This window comes from Homo sapiens, chromosome 17, assembly GCF_000001405.40.
Source record: "Homo sapiens chromosome 17, GRCh38.p14 Primary Assembly".
Lineage (NCBI taxonomy): Eukaryota > Metazoa > Chordata > Mammalia > Primates > Hominidae > Homo > Homo sapiens.
The window spans coordinates 8,964,043-8,978,608 of record NC_000017.11 but is presented as its reverse complement, the minus strand read 5'-3'; the positions used below and the strand labels follow the sequence as shown (position 1 = coordinate 8,978,608).

The 14,566-nt window shown below is 44.6% G+C and overlaps 1 protein-coding gene and 1 long non-coding RNA gene across 16 annotated transcripts in view, besides 3 other annotated features; one reads left to right on the top strand and one right to left on the bottom strand.

Annotated features, from left to right (window-relative positions):
- Nucleotides 1-1,622: 1,622 nt before the first annotated feature.
- PIK3R5-DT (PIK3R5 divergent transcript) lies at nt 1,623-12,762 on the bottom strand. Of its 4 annotated transcripts, none has more exons than NR_184080.1 (3): nt 12,606-12,762; nt 10,768-11,842; nt 1,623-1,851 (listed from the first exon to the last, which is right to left on the bottom strand). It is a non-coding gene; the product is annotated as a PIK3R5 divergent transcript (long non-coding RNA). The 4 variants fall into 4 exon arrangements; NR_184079.1 differs by having other exon boundaries at nt 12,616-12,762; NR_184078.1 differs by lacking the exon at nt 1,623-1,851 and having other exon boundaries at nt 10,192-11,842.
- Nucleotides 1,862-1,941: an enhancer, noted in NCBI's record as "active region_11719". NCBI's record gives its function as "activates an Ori minimal core promoter by ATAC-STARR-seq in GM12878 lymphoblastoid cells {active_cell/tissue: GM12878}" and the evidence as "EXISTENCE:reporter gene assay evidence [ECO:0000049][PMID:35858748]".
- Nucleotides 12,489-12,588: a silencer, noted in NCBI's record as "silent region_8192". NCBI's record gives its function as "represses an Ori minimal core promoter by ATAC-STARR-seq in GM12878 lymphoblastoid cells {active_cell/tissue: GM12878}" and the evidence as "EXISTENCE:reporter gene assay evidence [ECO:0000049][PMID:35858748]".
- Nucleotides 12,659-12,978: a silencer, noted in NCBI's record as "silent region_8191". NCBI's record gives its function as "represses an Ori minimal core promoter by ATAC-STARR-seq in GM12878 lymphoblastoid cells {active_cell/tissue: GM12878}" and the evidence as "EXISTENCE:reporter gene assay evidence [ECO:0000049][PMID:35858748]".
- The window catches only part of PIK3R5 (phosphoinositide-3-kinase regulatory subunit 5), an 86,792-nt gene continuing 85,127 nt past the window's right edge, over nt 12,902-14,566 (top strand). For all 12 annotated transcript variants that reach the window (NM_001251852.2, NM_001388397.1, NM_001251855.2 and 9 more), the window contains exon 1: nt 12,902-13,013. The gene's annotated coding sequence lies outside the window, so the exon portion shown is untranslated. The remainder of the gene's footprint in view (nt 13,014-14,566) is intronic.

Genomic DNA, 14,566 nt, shown 5'->3' with positions numbered 1-14,566 from the left:
TTCATTCACATTGCTGTATGTATCAGTACTTCATTTCTCTTTACAACCAAGTAATATCCCATTGCATGGATATACATTGTATTTATCCATTAATCAGTTGAAGGACATGTGTGTTTTTTCAGTTTTGGGCTGTTATGAATAATGCTGCTATAAACATTCATGTACAAGTTTTTGTGTGGACATATGTTCTCATTTATCTTGGGTATATACCTAAGAGAATTGCTGGGTCATATGGTAACAGTATGTTTAACCTTTTCAAGAAATTGACAGAGTATTGTCCAAAGTGATTGTGCCATTTTACATTCCCACAAGGAAATAGGTATGAGAGTTCCAAATTCCCAACATCCTTGTCAACACTTGTTATTATCTGTTTTTTTTTTTTTTTGATAGTGTATGGTATTTCATGGTGGTTTTGACTCGCATTTCTCTGATGATGTTGAGCATTTTTGCACATGCTTGTTGGCTATTTCTATATTTTGTTTGGAGAAGTGTCAATTCAGATCCTTTGCTCATTTTTTAATTAGGTATTTGCCTTTTTATCATTGAGTTATAGTAGTTCTTTACATATTCTAGATTCAGATCCCTTATCATATATATGATTTGCAGTATTTTTCTACTATTTTGTGGGCAATCTTTTCAGTTTCTTGGTGGTGTCCTTGAAGAACAAAATTTTACTTTTCATGGTGTCCACTTTATTTATTTTTTATTTTATTTTATTTTTAGATGGACTCTCGCTCTGTCGCCCAGGCTGGAGTGCAGTGGCGCGATGTTGGCTCACTGCAATCTCTGCCTCTCAGGCTCAAGCGATTCTCCTGCCTTAGCCTCCCGAGTAATTGGGACTACAGGCGTGCGTGTGTCACTACACCTGACTAATTTTTGTATTTTTAATAGAGATGAGGTTTCACATGTTGGCCAAGCTAGTCTCAAACTCCTGACCTCACGTGATCCACCCGCCTCAGCCTCCCAAAGTGCTGGGATTACAGACGTAAGCCACTGCGCCCGACTGATGATACCCACTTTATTTTTCTTCTTTTGTTTCTTGGGCTTTTGATGTCATATCTAAGAAACTATTTACTAATCCAAGGACATGAAGATTTACACTTATGTTTTCTTCTATGAGTTTTATAGTTTCAGCTGTGAGCTTTAGGTCTTTGATGCATTTTTGAGTTAATTTTTGTATGTGCTATGTCCTAGGGACCCAATTTTACAATTTTGCATATGGATATTCAGTTGTCTCAGCACTATTTACTGGGATGAATGAGCTCATTTTCTATCTGGTCATTGGTGGTATGTAGAAAATTATTGAATTTCATCTTTTTGTGTCTCCAGCTACTTTGTTGAACTCTCTTATTAGTTCTAGACATTTCTCAGTCCCTTATCTAAGGTTTCTCAGGTAGACAATCATATCACTTACAAATAATGATGAACTTGACTTTTGCTTCCCAAATTTCTGACTCTCTTATCTTTTTGCTTTGAATTTCACAATATTGTTGAAACTATTCAAGTTGTGGGCACCCTTGTTTTATAGGAATTCTTCTGTTATTAAGGACCGTATCTGTCCCTTCATTCCAAGTCATCATTAGCTATCACATTGTCTGCTGGATTGAGATAGATATCATTTATCATGTTGACAAAGTCTCCTTTTATTCCTAACCACAGAGAATTTGCATTAGGGGGCATTTTCTCAGGATAATTATATAGTTTTTCTCCCATGTCCTATTCATGTGATGAACAACATGAATACACTTTTACAGTAATCGCTGTTTGTATAAATGAAGTGTCTTCCAGCCAGTGGGAAGATTACCTCATGTGAACAGAAAGAACTCAGGTTTCACTGGTGCATGCTCCCACCTGTGTAATAGAAAACAGATGTCACAAACTGAAAGCCAGTAGGTCATGTGTAGTTTGGCCTGTAAGACATTTTAGAATACTGTTTTGAATTAGTTGCTAACATTTAAAAATCAGAAGATTTCTCTTATGAATTCCAATTTCCAGTTTCTCTTTTAAAATCATAAGATCTAGCCACACCAATCCTGCATTTCCACATGGCCACCGTGGGTTGGAGCTGAGCCCCAGGGGCTCCTTTTAGTGGTCTCTTCATTTACCTCATTAGCATCCCATCATACCGTATTGTCACCATACCCTATTGTTTCCCACACATCAGAGTCAAGGTTCAGTTGCCAATTTTTGCATTTGTGCAATTTTTAAAAATAATGAAATATTGTTTGTAATCATGTCCAGTAAATGTAGAAAAAAATGAAAGAGGCCAAGAGGGCCAGGTGCTTCTAAGAGAAAAGGGGGAAAGCATATTTCTAGGTAGAAGTAAAGAATATTGCTATATGTTTAATATGCAAAATGTGTCTGCTGAAAGAATAAGACATAAGGGGCTACCAGAAATAAAATCTAAGACTATGGAAAAGCTGTGTTGGGAAAGAGGACCTTGTTGCACTGGGGGGAGAAAAGGACTGACCTTTTAACAGGGTTTATTTCAGAAGGCACAGAGTATAAACAATGCTGTTATGGAATGTCAGAATATATTAAGTGAACACCATCTCACCCCTTCTATCGCTGAGTTTGACCTGCCTGGCCCTTGGGGGTGTTTGAATTTCTGATCCCTGCTCCAGGTCCTCCAGCTTCCTTCAAAGCCTCCTCAGTTATCCCTGTGGTTCCCCAGGTCTGTCTTACAGTGGTGACTGTGCTGGGGTCAGTCTCCTTGTGTTCCCCAAGGTACAAGGCTTAGTGATTTCAAAGCAATGCTTTTCCACAGGCCTACAGGGGCCAGAGCCATGGCATGTTCTTGCCCCTTTCACTTGGTTTCTCGGCCCTTAATGAAAAGGTCTTTTTGCTTCTTCCTGAAGCTTTTTCTCCATAAAGTTCAACCTGTGAGGGGGACCTGGGATAGAGATCACACTCCCATTGGTAGCAACAGCAAGGGACTGGCTTGGGAGAGATGTGGGTGCAGGTTGGCCCTATCTCCTTCAGCTCCTCCCCAAACATCCAATCTAAATTTTGCAATGGGGACGCATCAGTCAGACTCTACCCATCTCCTATGGTGACATGCTGGAATTTCCACTAGAGGTCACTCCCCATCTCACACCCCAGGGCCCACCCATAAACGCCTCCGTGCAGGCCCCTGACTTTTAACCAGGTCAATGTTCACAGTGGATTCTTGTGGGCGACCAGTCCAGTCTGCATTCCTTTGGGCTCATCCAGGATGTTGGCATTCCTTGAACAAACCCTACTTTGTCACAGTATATTGCTATTTTAATTAAAGGCTGGATATAACTTGCATTTACTTTTAAAAATTATTTTATTTATTTATTTATTTATTTATTTATTTATTTATTTATTTATTTTTGAGATGGAGTTTTGCTCTTTCACTCAGGCTGGAGTGAAGTGGCACGATCTCGGGTCACTGCAACCTCCACCCCCCCGGGTTCAAGTGATTTTCCTGCCTCAGCCTTCCAAGTAGCTGAGATTATAGGCGCCTGCCACTACATCCGGCTAATTTTTGTATTTTTAGTAGAGATGGGGTTTCGCCATGTTGGCCAGGCTAGTCTTGAACTCCTGACCTCAGGCAATCCACCCGCCTCGGCCTCCCAAAGTGCTAGGATTACAGGCATGAGCCACCGCGCCCAGCCAAACTTGCACTTATTCTATTTCAGATTTTATATCTGTATCATAGAGAAGAATTCACCTGTAGTTTTCTTTTTGTGTTTTAGTATCAGGTGAAAACAAAATGGGAAGTTTTTCCAAAGTTTGTAAGATTTGCAACTTTCAAGTTTTGCTTTTTTAAGTTTGTATTTTGAAATAATTTTGGATTTACAAACAAAGGTGCAAACGTAAGAGTCCCCATAGACCTTTGACCCAGCTTCCCTAAATATTAGCGTTGTATATAACATAGTCTGATTCTTGAAATCAAAAAATTAACACTGATACAAAACTATTAACTAGTCTACAGACCTTATTCAAATTTTGCCGATAGTACAACTAAATGTACTGTTTCTGGCCCAGGATCCAAGTTCAAATCCCTCATTGCATTTAAGTGTTGTGTGACAATCTGTGACAGCCCTTTAGCCTTTGTTTCCTGAGCTTGACACTGTTGAAGATTTTGTAGAATGTCCCTCAATTTGAGTGAGTCTGATGTTTTCCTTTTTCTTTCTTTTCTTTTTAGAGACAGGTTGTCATCTAGGCTCTGTCACCTAGGCTAGACTGCACTGCAACCTCAACCTCCTGGACTCAAGCGATCTTCCCACCTCAGCATGCTTAGTAGTTGGGACTACAGGCCCATGCCACTGCACCCAGCTAATATACATATTTATTTTTTGGTAGAAATGGGTCTTGCTATGTTGCCCAGGCTGGTCTTGAAATCCTGGTCTCAAGCAATTCTCCCACCTTAGCTTCCCAACATGCTGGCATTACAGGTGTGAGCAACCAACACCAAGCCCTGATGTTTTCTCTGATGAGATTGATGTAAGACATTTTTGGCAAGAATACCACAGAAATGATGTGCCTGTCTCAGCATCAAATCACGAGATGAATGTTATTGCTGTGTCTCCTTATGATAATGTTAACTTTGTTCACTTGGTTAAGGGGGTGTCCGTCTGGCTTCTTTGCTGTAAGGTTTCTATTTTCCCTTTGTAACTAGAAAGTATCTTGCTGTGCATGGTGGCTCATGCCTGTAATCCCAGCACTTTGGGAGGCCGAGGTGGGCAGATCACTTGAGGCCAGGAGTTTGAGATCAGCCTAGCCAACATGGTGAAATCTCGTCTCTACTAAAAATACAAAAATTAGCCGGGTATGGTGGCACAAGCCTGTAGTCCCAGCTACTCGGGAGGCTGAGGCAGGAGAATCACTTGAACCAGGGAGGCAGACGTTGCCGTGAGTCGAGATCGTGCCACTGCACTCCAGCCTGGGCGACAGAGCAAGAATCTGTCTGAAAAACAAAAATACCTTGTTGGGTGCTACTTTAAGCAAATGTCTCATTTGTCTTAGTCTGATCAGGCTGCTATAAACAAAAAATCATACACTGGGTGGCTTATAAACAACAAACATTTATGTCTCACAGTTCTGGAAGCTGGGAAGTCCAAGATCAAGTTACTGGCAGATTTGATGTCTGACAAGGGCCCTTCCTCACAGGCAGCACCTTCTGACTGTGTCCTCACGTGGTGCAACACACGGTAAGGGGCAGTTCCCTTAGGCTTTTTTTTTTTTTTTTGAGATGGAGTCTTGCTCTGTCGCCCAGGCTGGAGTGCAGCAGCGTGATCTTGGCTCACTGCAACCTCCGCCTCCCAAGTTCAAGCAATTCCCCTGCCTCAGCTTCCCGAGTAGCTGGGACTACAGGCACGTGCCACGATACCCGGCTAATTTTTTGTATTTTAGTAGGGACGGGGTTTCACCATGTTGGCCAGGATGGTCTCCATCTCCTGACTTCATGATCCACCTGCCTCAGCCTCCCAAAGTGCTGGGATTACAGGCATAAGCCACCACACCTGGCCCCTTAGGCTTCTTTTTTTGGAGCACTAATTCTAATCATGAGGGCTCCACCCTCATCACCTAGACCTAATCACCTCCCCAAATGCCACACCTTCTAATACCATCACCTTGGGGGTTAGGCTTCAATGTGTGAATAGGTGGGGGGACACATTCAGACCACAGCACCATTTATCATCATATTTTTGCTCACTGCATTTAGCATCCATTGATGATTTTTTTTTTTTTTGAAACAGAGTCTTGTTCTGTCACCCAGGCTGGAGTGCAATGGCATGGTTGGCTCACTGCAACCTCTGCTTCCCAGGTTCAAGAGATTCTCCTGCCTCAGTCTCCCAAGTAGCTGGGATTACAGGCACGCGCCACCACACCTGGCTAATTTTTGTATTTTTAGTAGAGACGGGGTTTCACCATGTTGGGCAGGCTGGTCTCGAACTCCTGACCTCAGGTGATCCACCTGCCTTGGCCTCACAAAGTGCTGGGATTACAGGCGTGAGCCACTGTGCCCAACCCATTGATGATCCTCGCCTGCAAAAATTATTACTGTGATGTTTACCAAATGGTGATTTTTCTGCTTCCATCTTCCTTCTACATGTATTCACTGGCATTCCACTGTAAGAAAGGGTTGTCAATTCTCCCCCATGTATTTATCCAATTTTTTTATGTCATTATGGACTCTTGGCTACTTATTTTATTCTATAAGCTATAACCCATAACTATCGTTATTGTGTTACTCAGCTTGTTCTGGATTTGGTCACTGGGAGCCCCTTCAAGTTGGTTATTGCATTCTTTTGACAAACATTAATCATTTTTTGAGCACTTTATTATTTTCTAGTACCACAAGATGTTCTAGATTCATCTTGTTCTTTCCCTGTCATGGCCCTTCAATCAGACATTCCTCCAAGGAGCTCTGGTTCCTTTTATTGAAGGATGATATTTAGAAACCAAGATCTGGAAGCTAGGTGTGCTCATCCCTAGTGGGATATCATTACCTCTAGGCTCCATCATCAGAGCTGGGAAATATACATACATCTATATCTCTTTATCTATATATTTATCTATGTATCTAACTATTAAAAACCATGAGTATATACTGATACCTCCAATTCTCATCTAACACCACCACATTCATTCTAGCCTTCCACCTTTCCTTGTTTGTAACTTCCTTCCTCAACACCGAAAAACTTGGCTCTCATTATTCACAATATATTTACTTATTTGTTCAATCTTCACATATATATATAAAAGAGTTTCAGAATTTCTAACCCATATACCTGTGAGATATAGATTTGCTCATCAGAAAACAGACCCCTTAAGCAGTAATACCAACACAATGTGGTACAAGTTGTGTTTTTTTTTGTTTTTTTTTTTTTTTCATCTTTAGCTTTTGTATTAGTCTGTTCTCACATAGCTATAGAGAAACACCTGAGACTGGGTAATTTTTATAAAGAAAAGAGGTTTAATCGGCTCATGGTTTTGCAGGCTGTGCAGGAAGCGTAGTGGCTTCTGCTTCTGGGGAGGCCTCTGGAAGCTCACAATTGCGGTGGAATGCAAAGTTGGGGCTTGCATGTCACATGGCCAGAGAAGGAGCAAGAGAGACCAAGGTGGGAGGTACTACACAATTTTTTTTTTTTTTAGATGGAGTCTCACTCTGTCGCCAGGCTGGAGTGCAGTGGTGCGATCTTGGCTCATTGCCACCTCTGACTCCCTGGTTCAAGCGATTCTCCTGCCTCAGCCTCCCAAGTAGCTGGGATTACAGGCATGTACCACCACACCTAGCTAATTTTTGTATTTTTAGTTGAGACGGAATTTCACCATGTTGGCCAAGATGGTCTCAATCTCCTGACCTCATGATCCGCCTGCCTTGGCCTCCCAAAGTGCTGGGATTACAGGCATGAGCCACTGCGCCTGCCCAGTACTACACACTTTTAAATGACCAGATCTCATGAGAACTCACTCTCAAGAGGACAGTACCAAGAGGGATGGTGAAAAACCATTCATGAGAAATCTGCCCCCATGATCCAATCACCTTCCAACAGGCCCCACCTCCAGCACTGGGGATTACATTTCAGTATGAGATTTGGACAGGGCACATACTTATAGTATGTAGTCAAAATATGGTTTTCTATGTTACTTGGTTAGTTCCTTTTGTCTTCTCCTTCCTCAGTATGATTATATCATTCATTTGTAATAGGTTCATTTGTTACTGTTCATATTCAGTTTTGGGTTCCCATCACATCCTGATTGATGTAAACTTACTACTTTAGGGTGAGATGAGGATATATGTAGCATTATCATGGTCCTCAAAGTAAGAACTGTACAAACAGCATACTCAGAGAATTGTCATTTCTCCCATCCCTTCTATCCTTACCCCCAATCTCCCATTCTTTCCAGACTATCCCTACCTATCCACTGTAGGTAACCAATCTCATCAGTTTCTGGTTGATCCTTCCTATACTTGTTTTTCTACAAATGAGAAGATACATGCATATTTTCTTATTTCTCTTTCTTTTTTACATGAAAGGTTAGCATACTATATTTTTCATGGTAGTATTTTTTAAAAGCATGGTAGAATTCTGTCCTTTAAAATTTGATAGAAGTCATCTATGTAACTACCAAGACATGGAGACTTTCAAGAGAGATGTTCTTTGATAATTTATACAATTCCATGGTTATTGGTCTATTCAGAGTGTATCTCTTCTTAAGTCAATTTTTGGTAATTCATGTCTTACCAGGAAAGTTAAGATATTGAGTAGAAGATGCAAATCTTTCTTTAGTTCAGAGAAAATTTCTTCTGCCATATATTTTATTTTCTCCTCTCTCTCCTTGTGGAATTACTGTTATACACATATTAGACCTCTATAGTCTAGCTATCACAGATCATCTTTTCTCTTCTGAATTCCAGGATAAATTTTCAAGCTTGAGTTCTGGGTCACACATTCAGCTTTCTTCGGTTCCCAATCTTCTGTTCATTGTTTCCATTGAGGTTTAAATTTAGCAAGCTAAAAATGTTTCCTAATTTCAGTTTGTAATTTCTTAATGATTCCTTGTAATTTCAGTTTGTAATTACATAATCCACTACACTTGCAAATACAATATCCTCCCAAATATTATTAAAAACATAAAAGAGAAAGATGTTTAATTTTTTTTCCTCTTCTTCTTGTGGAAATTTCATTTCAAAGGAAACTAATTTTCTCTGACCATGTTCCGTTCTGTTGAAAGTCTGAATCTTTTTGTGTTTTCATATCATTACTTTTTCTCTCTCTGTTTATTTTTACCAGGAGGGAGTCTATATTTATTCTGGAATAGAAGTTGAGGTGGTTCTCCTGATTATCATGAATAGTCAGTAAGCATTCAGTCAAATAAATAAGTGGAGAGAGGTATTTTAAGCAGAGAGGACAGAGAGAGGAAGGGCATGAAGATATAAAAGCCCAATGTCAGCCAGGCACAGTGGCTTGCACCTGTAATCCCAGCACTTTGGGAGGCCCGGGTGGGAGTATTGTTTAAGCCTAGGAGTTTGAGACCTACCTGGGCAACACAGCAAGACTCCATTTCTACCAAATTAATAATAATAATAATAATAATAATAATAATAATAATAATAATAATTAGCTAGGCATGCCTGAGGCAGGAGGATGGCTTGAGCCCAGGAATTTGAGGCTGCAGGGAGCATTGATCATGCCACTGCACTGGGTGACAGGAAGACCAATGTGGATTTTCTTTTCTCACATATTTTATGTACTGGGATATAATTTACAAAGAGCAGAATATGTAACTTTTAAGTGAAGATCTCACTAACTTGTGCATATGCAGAAACCATTTAACCACCATCAAGATAAAAACACCACCCCAGAAAGTTCACTCATGTCCACTTTCTGGCTAAATTGTTCCCTTCCCCCAAGATAACCATCATTCTGACTCCTATCACTATAAGTTAGTTTGCTGGTTCTTGAACTTCATATAAATGGAATCATGCACTATATTTTCTTTTGTGTCTGGCTTCTTTTGCTCAGCATCATTTTTGTGAGATTCACCTATGTGGACAAATGCATCAGTCATTTATTCCTTTTTACTGCTGAGTAGCATTCCAGTGTACGAATATCCCACAATTTAACAAAAAATGCATTCTACTATTAATGATATTTAGGGTGTTTCCAGTTTGGGGCTATTATAAATAAAGTTGCTACAGTCATTCATATATATGTTTCTGTGGGGATATATACATTCATTTATCTTGGATATATACCTAGGAGTGGAATTTCTAGGTCACAAGTAGATGTATATTTAACTTTATTAGATACTGCCAATCAGTTTCCCAAACTTGTTGTGCCGTGTTACACTCCTACAAGCAATATATGAGTGTTTCAGTTGCTCCACATCCTTGCCAACATTTGGTGTTTTCAGTATGAATTTTAGCTATTCTAATGACTGTAAAGTGGTAACTCATGGTTTAAGTTTGCATTTCCCCAAAGACTCATCATGTTAGCACCTTTTCGTGTGTTTATTGGCCATGCGCATATCTTTTTTTTGTTGAAGTGTCTGTTCAAGTCTTTTGCCCATTTTTAAATTGGATTCTTTGTCTTTACTACTTTTGAGTTGTGGGAGTTCTTTATATATTCTGGCTATAAGTTACTAGAAATCTTACTATCCACTGGTGGATAGTAATGATGTCAACTGAGATAGGGAAGGCAGGAGAAGGAGTTTGGGAGAAGATGAGGAATTTATTTTAGGTCATGGAGTAATTAAAAGGCTTTTGGATTGATTATCTAGGTATGGGTGTACAGAAAACACTTGGAATTACAGATCTGGAGCTCAAGAGAGAAGTCTGGGCGATAGTTTGGGAGGGATCAGTATGATGGGAATGGATGAGATTGCCCAGGGAGAAGAGAAGCAGCCTTATCTGAAATCTCAAGCATTGTAATGTTTAAGAGATGATGAAGAAATGAAGCCAGAAGAAGAAAACAGAAATCATGGTGAGAGGTGGAGGAGAAGCCAAGGAGGGGATTTTCAAGAAGGAGTGGTGCCAAATGCTGTAGTGAGGTAAGAAAATGAAACCATTGGAGTTGACATTTGGGGTTTCCCTGGTGGTCTCTGTTCAGAGAATTGAGGAATAAATGTAAGATGAGGAAGTGGAGGCAGGGGTAGACTCCTCTTTGAAAACATTAGGCAGTGAAAGGAAGGAGAGTGATTTCAAAGAGCCATAGATTTTAAAACAAAGCAACAAAGGAGTTGTAGAAAGAGGTACATAATCAGATGCTTAATGAGTGACAGAGGTACCTTTCAGAGTTTTTCCAGCAGCTTTGGGGAGGTGGGAAATGGAGAATGGATAGGTGTCAGGTGCTGATCAGATCTGTGACAGGGAGACGCAGACAGAACTCAGTGTTGACGGCGTGGCATAACATGCAGGCTCCACATCTGGGCCACAGCTGTAGGTGGAGAGGAGAATGCCTACTTCTGAGGGGATGTACGATGGGACCAAGTTGGCTTCTTGGGATGCTCAGAGCCCTAGGAGTGAGCACCAATGAGCCACTCTTTTGCAGTTTTCCTCCATTTTCAGAAGGCAGGCATCCCATAATTTCTCTGGCAGATTATTTGCCTTTCCAAGTGCTCTCCTAATCCAACATTTCCATCTGGCACACAGTGTCATTCTTGCTCCTGAATTCCTGATTCCAGAGCATTTCTGCCATTTTCTTCCTTTGCACAGTGTGTACCTTCCCTCTTCTCCTCTTCTTCCAAATGTCCATATTTTTGTGGTGGAAAAAGTGGGGACAGGGGAGACAGAAGACTGGAATCCTTATCAAGTCCTCTCTCAGCCCTTGGTGGCTCTGGTTCCTTCTCTGTGAAAGGGTGACGTGTGGGGAAGGGGTTGGGGATGAGGTAGGAGAGGGGGTCTGAGTTCCTTCCCACGTCTAACGATGGCTGGAACCAGGCCTCTGTGTTCAACCAAGGGTACTTTCTGTTTCTGTCCATTTGGGGAAGTTGCTTTTTCTTGGTATTTCGGGAGTCAGGAAAAGAAAAGTCATTGGTGTTCATATCTCTCAAAGCCTCAGGTAGGGCTGCGGCTTTTGACCAACAATAACGTATGACCATGACCTTGTGGCCGAGTTTGCACGCCTCTAACAGATATTATGACACAGTTCCATTCAATAGTGGAAGTGGAGATTTCAGCGTTGCCCTTTGTTAACCCACAAATGAAGTGCTACTCTTCCATTGTGAGGGCTGTCGGAGCAGTAGCCAACCTTCTTATCCCCATTTTTTAAACGAGGGAAAGGAGGCATAGGAAGCGCAGTGTCTTGTGGGATTCCCTGGGGAGTCCTTCCAACTCTTGGTAGAGCATCATCTGCAACGTCGTCTGGGGGAGAAAAGGGGGAGGCAAGAAGAGGGCCTTGACCCTGGAGGCAGGAACTCCCGCACACCCTCACTCCCTTCCCCAGGGGCTGGGGAAACCACTCAGGTGACAGTAGCCTTGGTGCCGGCCAGGGAGGGCGGGAAGTCCAGCCAGAGGCTGGAACAGCAGTGCTGAACGCCGGGACTGGCTGGTATTTCTATGAAGGTTCCTGCAGAAGGATGCGGGTCAAGGTGCCCGTCTGCACAGCAGTAGTGCAGGCATTTTAAGGGTTAAGGGCACCCAAAGAAAATAGAAGTAGGGGCCGGGCGCAGTGGCTCACGCCTGTAATCCCAGCACTTTGGGAAGCCGAGGCGGGCGGATCACGAGGTCAAGAGATCGAGACCATCCTGGCCAACATGGTGAAACCCCGTCTCTAGTAAAAATACAAAAAATTGGGCGTGGTGGCGCGCGCCTGTAGTCCCAGCTACCCGGGAGGCTGAGGCAGGAGAATCGCTTGAACCCGGGAGGCGGAGGTTGTGGGGAGTCAAGATCGTGCCACTGCACTCCAGCCTGGCGACAGAGCGAGACTCCATCTCAAAAAAAAAAAAAAAAAAAAGAAAGAAAATAGAAGTAGGAAGAGGAAGTGGGTCGCAGTGAGAGAAGGAAGCAGCTCGTCGGAGCTTCCTCTTTCTCGTCTTTCCCCTAAGCCCCTACCCCAGACCTGCCCCCCTGCTCCGCCCAGCCCTCCTGCGGGGCCAAAGCCGCGCTTCCGACGCGGGGGCCTAACCTCCCCTTACTCCTTGGGGGTCGCTGGTGCTCCGCGCTGGTGCCCCTCGGGCCACTGCCATGGACCGGCCAGGGTCTGCTTCTTCCGAGGGCTGGCGGGTCAGAGCCGGGGCTGCTTCTCAGACGCCTTGCGGCCTCGGGGGCGTGACCCAGAGGATGTGGGGCCGGGCGCGCACCTGGCTGACGCTGCCGGGCCGCCAGGTGGCTGGAGAGGCCGGCTCCGCGGTCAGCCCCGCCCCATTAGGCCCCGCCCCCTGACAGGCTCCGCCCCGCCCGCCGGAGGAGCCCAGGCTGGGCAGATGCTGCGGCTCGCCGCGCGGCTCCAGCTGGGGCGCGGTGGTCCCGACGGTCACCCGAATCGCAGGGAGTCGCCGCTGGAGAGGGGCTCGGCGCCCGGCGGGGACTGCAGGTGTGTGACTGGGCGGCCAGGGCGGATGCGGAGGGCACGCATGGGAGCTCCAGGCAGAGCTGGAGCAAGCTGGGGACCGTCGGGGAGAGTGGGCTCCGCGAGCAGCCGCCGCAGCCCGAGGGCTGGACAGATCCTGCTATCTTCCGGCCCCGTGGACCTGGCCCACCGCGGGGGCAGCGGGTCTGCAAACCTGCGCTCCAGATAACCCCAGAGACTTAAGGGGCGTCGCGGGGACCACTTATCGTTATCCGGGTAACCTCTGCTGGGCGGCTCTGCGCAGCTGTGTCCTCAGCCTCCTGCCTCTGACACAGGACGCCCTGTGTCGTAGGGTCAGGTCCCCTGCCCGCTCCAGCGGGGAACTGTCCGTGAGCGTGGGCATCAGGGCTCTTGTGCCGTCAGAACCTGGGAGTCATGGAAGTGCCCGCGTAAGGCGCCCTCCGTCGAGCCTCACTCAGCCTGCTAGTTAGCCAGCCTTGGGCCCAGACGCGGCTGCTGTCCTAGAGAACTGCACGCTTTCTGCTCTCAGAGGATCTGTGTTTACACACTGGACATCCCCGCGTGACTCGTGTGTGTGTGTGTGTGTGTGTGTGTGTGGGCATGCGCATGTGCGCGTGCTGGCCCATCCCGGCCTGGGGTAAATACACAAAAAGTTCAGGTCAGTAGGAGGAAGGAGATTGTTCAGAAGGAAAAGGAAGGCGAGGTTAAAGCAGCAGGATGTGGTATAAAGCGAGTTAACAAGACTCGGAGTAGAGAGGAGGGGTGGGTTTAGGCAGAATAAGGGCTAAAAGTAGGCCAAGCCTGCCTCCAAGGTCCTCTCTGGACTGACACCCTCGTTTTCCTTCTGTGTCTTCTCATCCACCCCACACTTTCCTTCCTGCCCTCAGGACCACCTGTAAGGCACTGGCTCCCAGAGCTGACTGCAGGTAGGGCTCTCTTGGAGCCAACCCTACAACGTGGCTTTCCAGGGATGGGATCTGGAATCTGTAGTTTTCAAAACTTTGAATGAGCTCCTTAAGTGATGATGCTGAAGCCGTTGCTTGGGAACCATGCATGATGTGGAAAAGAGACCCAAGTTCCAACCGGATCCAGCTGTGTGACCTGCAGCATCACACTGTCCCCCAACCCAGCCTCAGTCTCCTGATTCATAAAATGGGCTGTCATACTGACCCATAGAGCTGTGTGGAATTATTATTATTATTATTATTGAGACAGGGTCTTGCTCTGTCACTCAGGCTGGAGTGCAGTGGCGTGATCATGGCTCACTGCAGCCTTAAATTCCCAGGCTCAAGCAATCCTCCGCCTCCGCCTCCCAAGTAGCTGGGATTACAGGTCAGCACCACGGCGCCCAGCTAATTTTTGTATTTTTTGTAGAGGCAGGGTTTTGCCATGTTGCCCAGGTTGGTCCCAAATTCCTTGAGCTCAAGCGATCCGTCTACCTTGGCCTTCCAAAGTGCTGGGATTATAGACATGAGCCACTGTGCCTGGCCCAGTGTGGAAAATTAAGTGAGGCATGTATGATGAGAACGGCTGCACGTGGGAGATGCTCCGTGGAT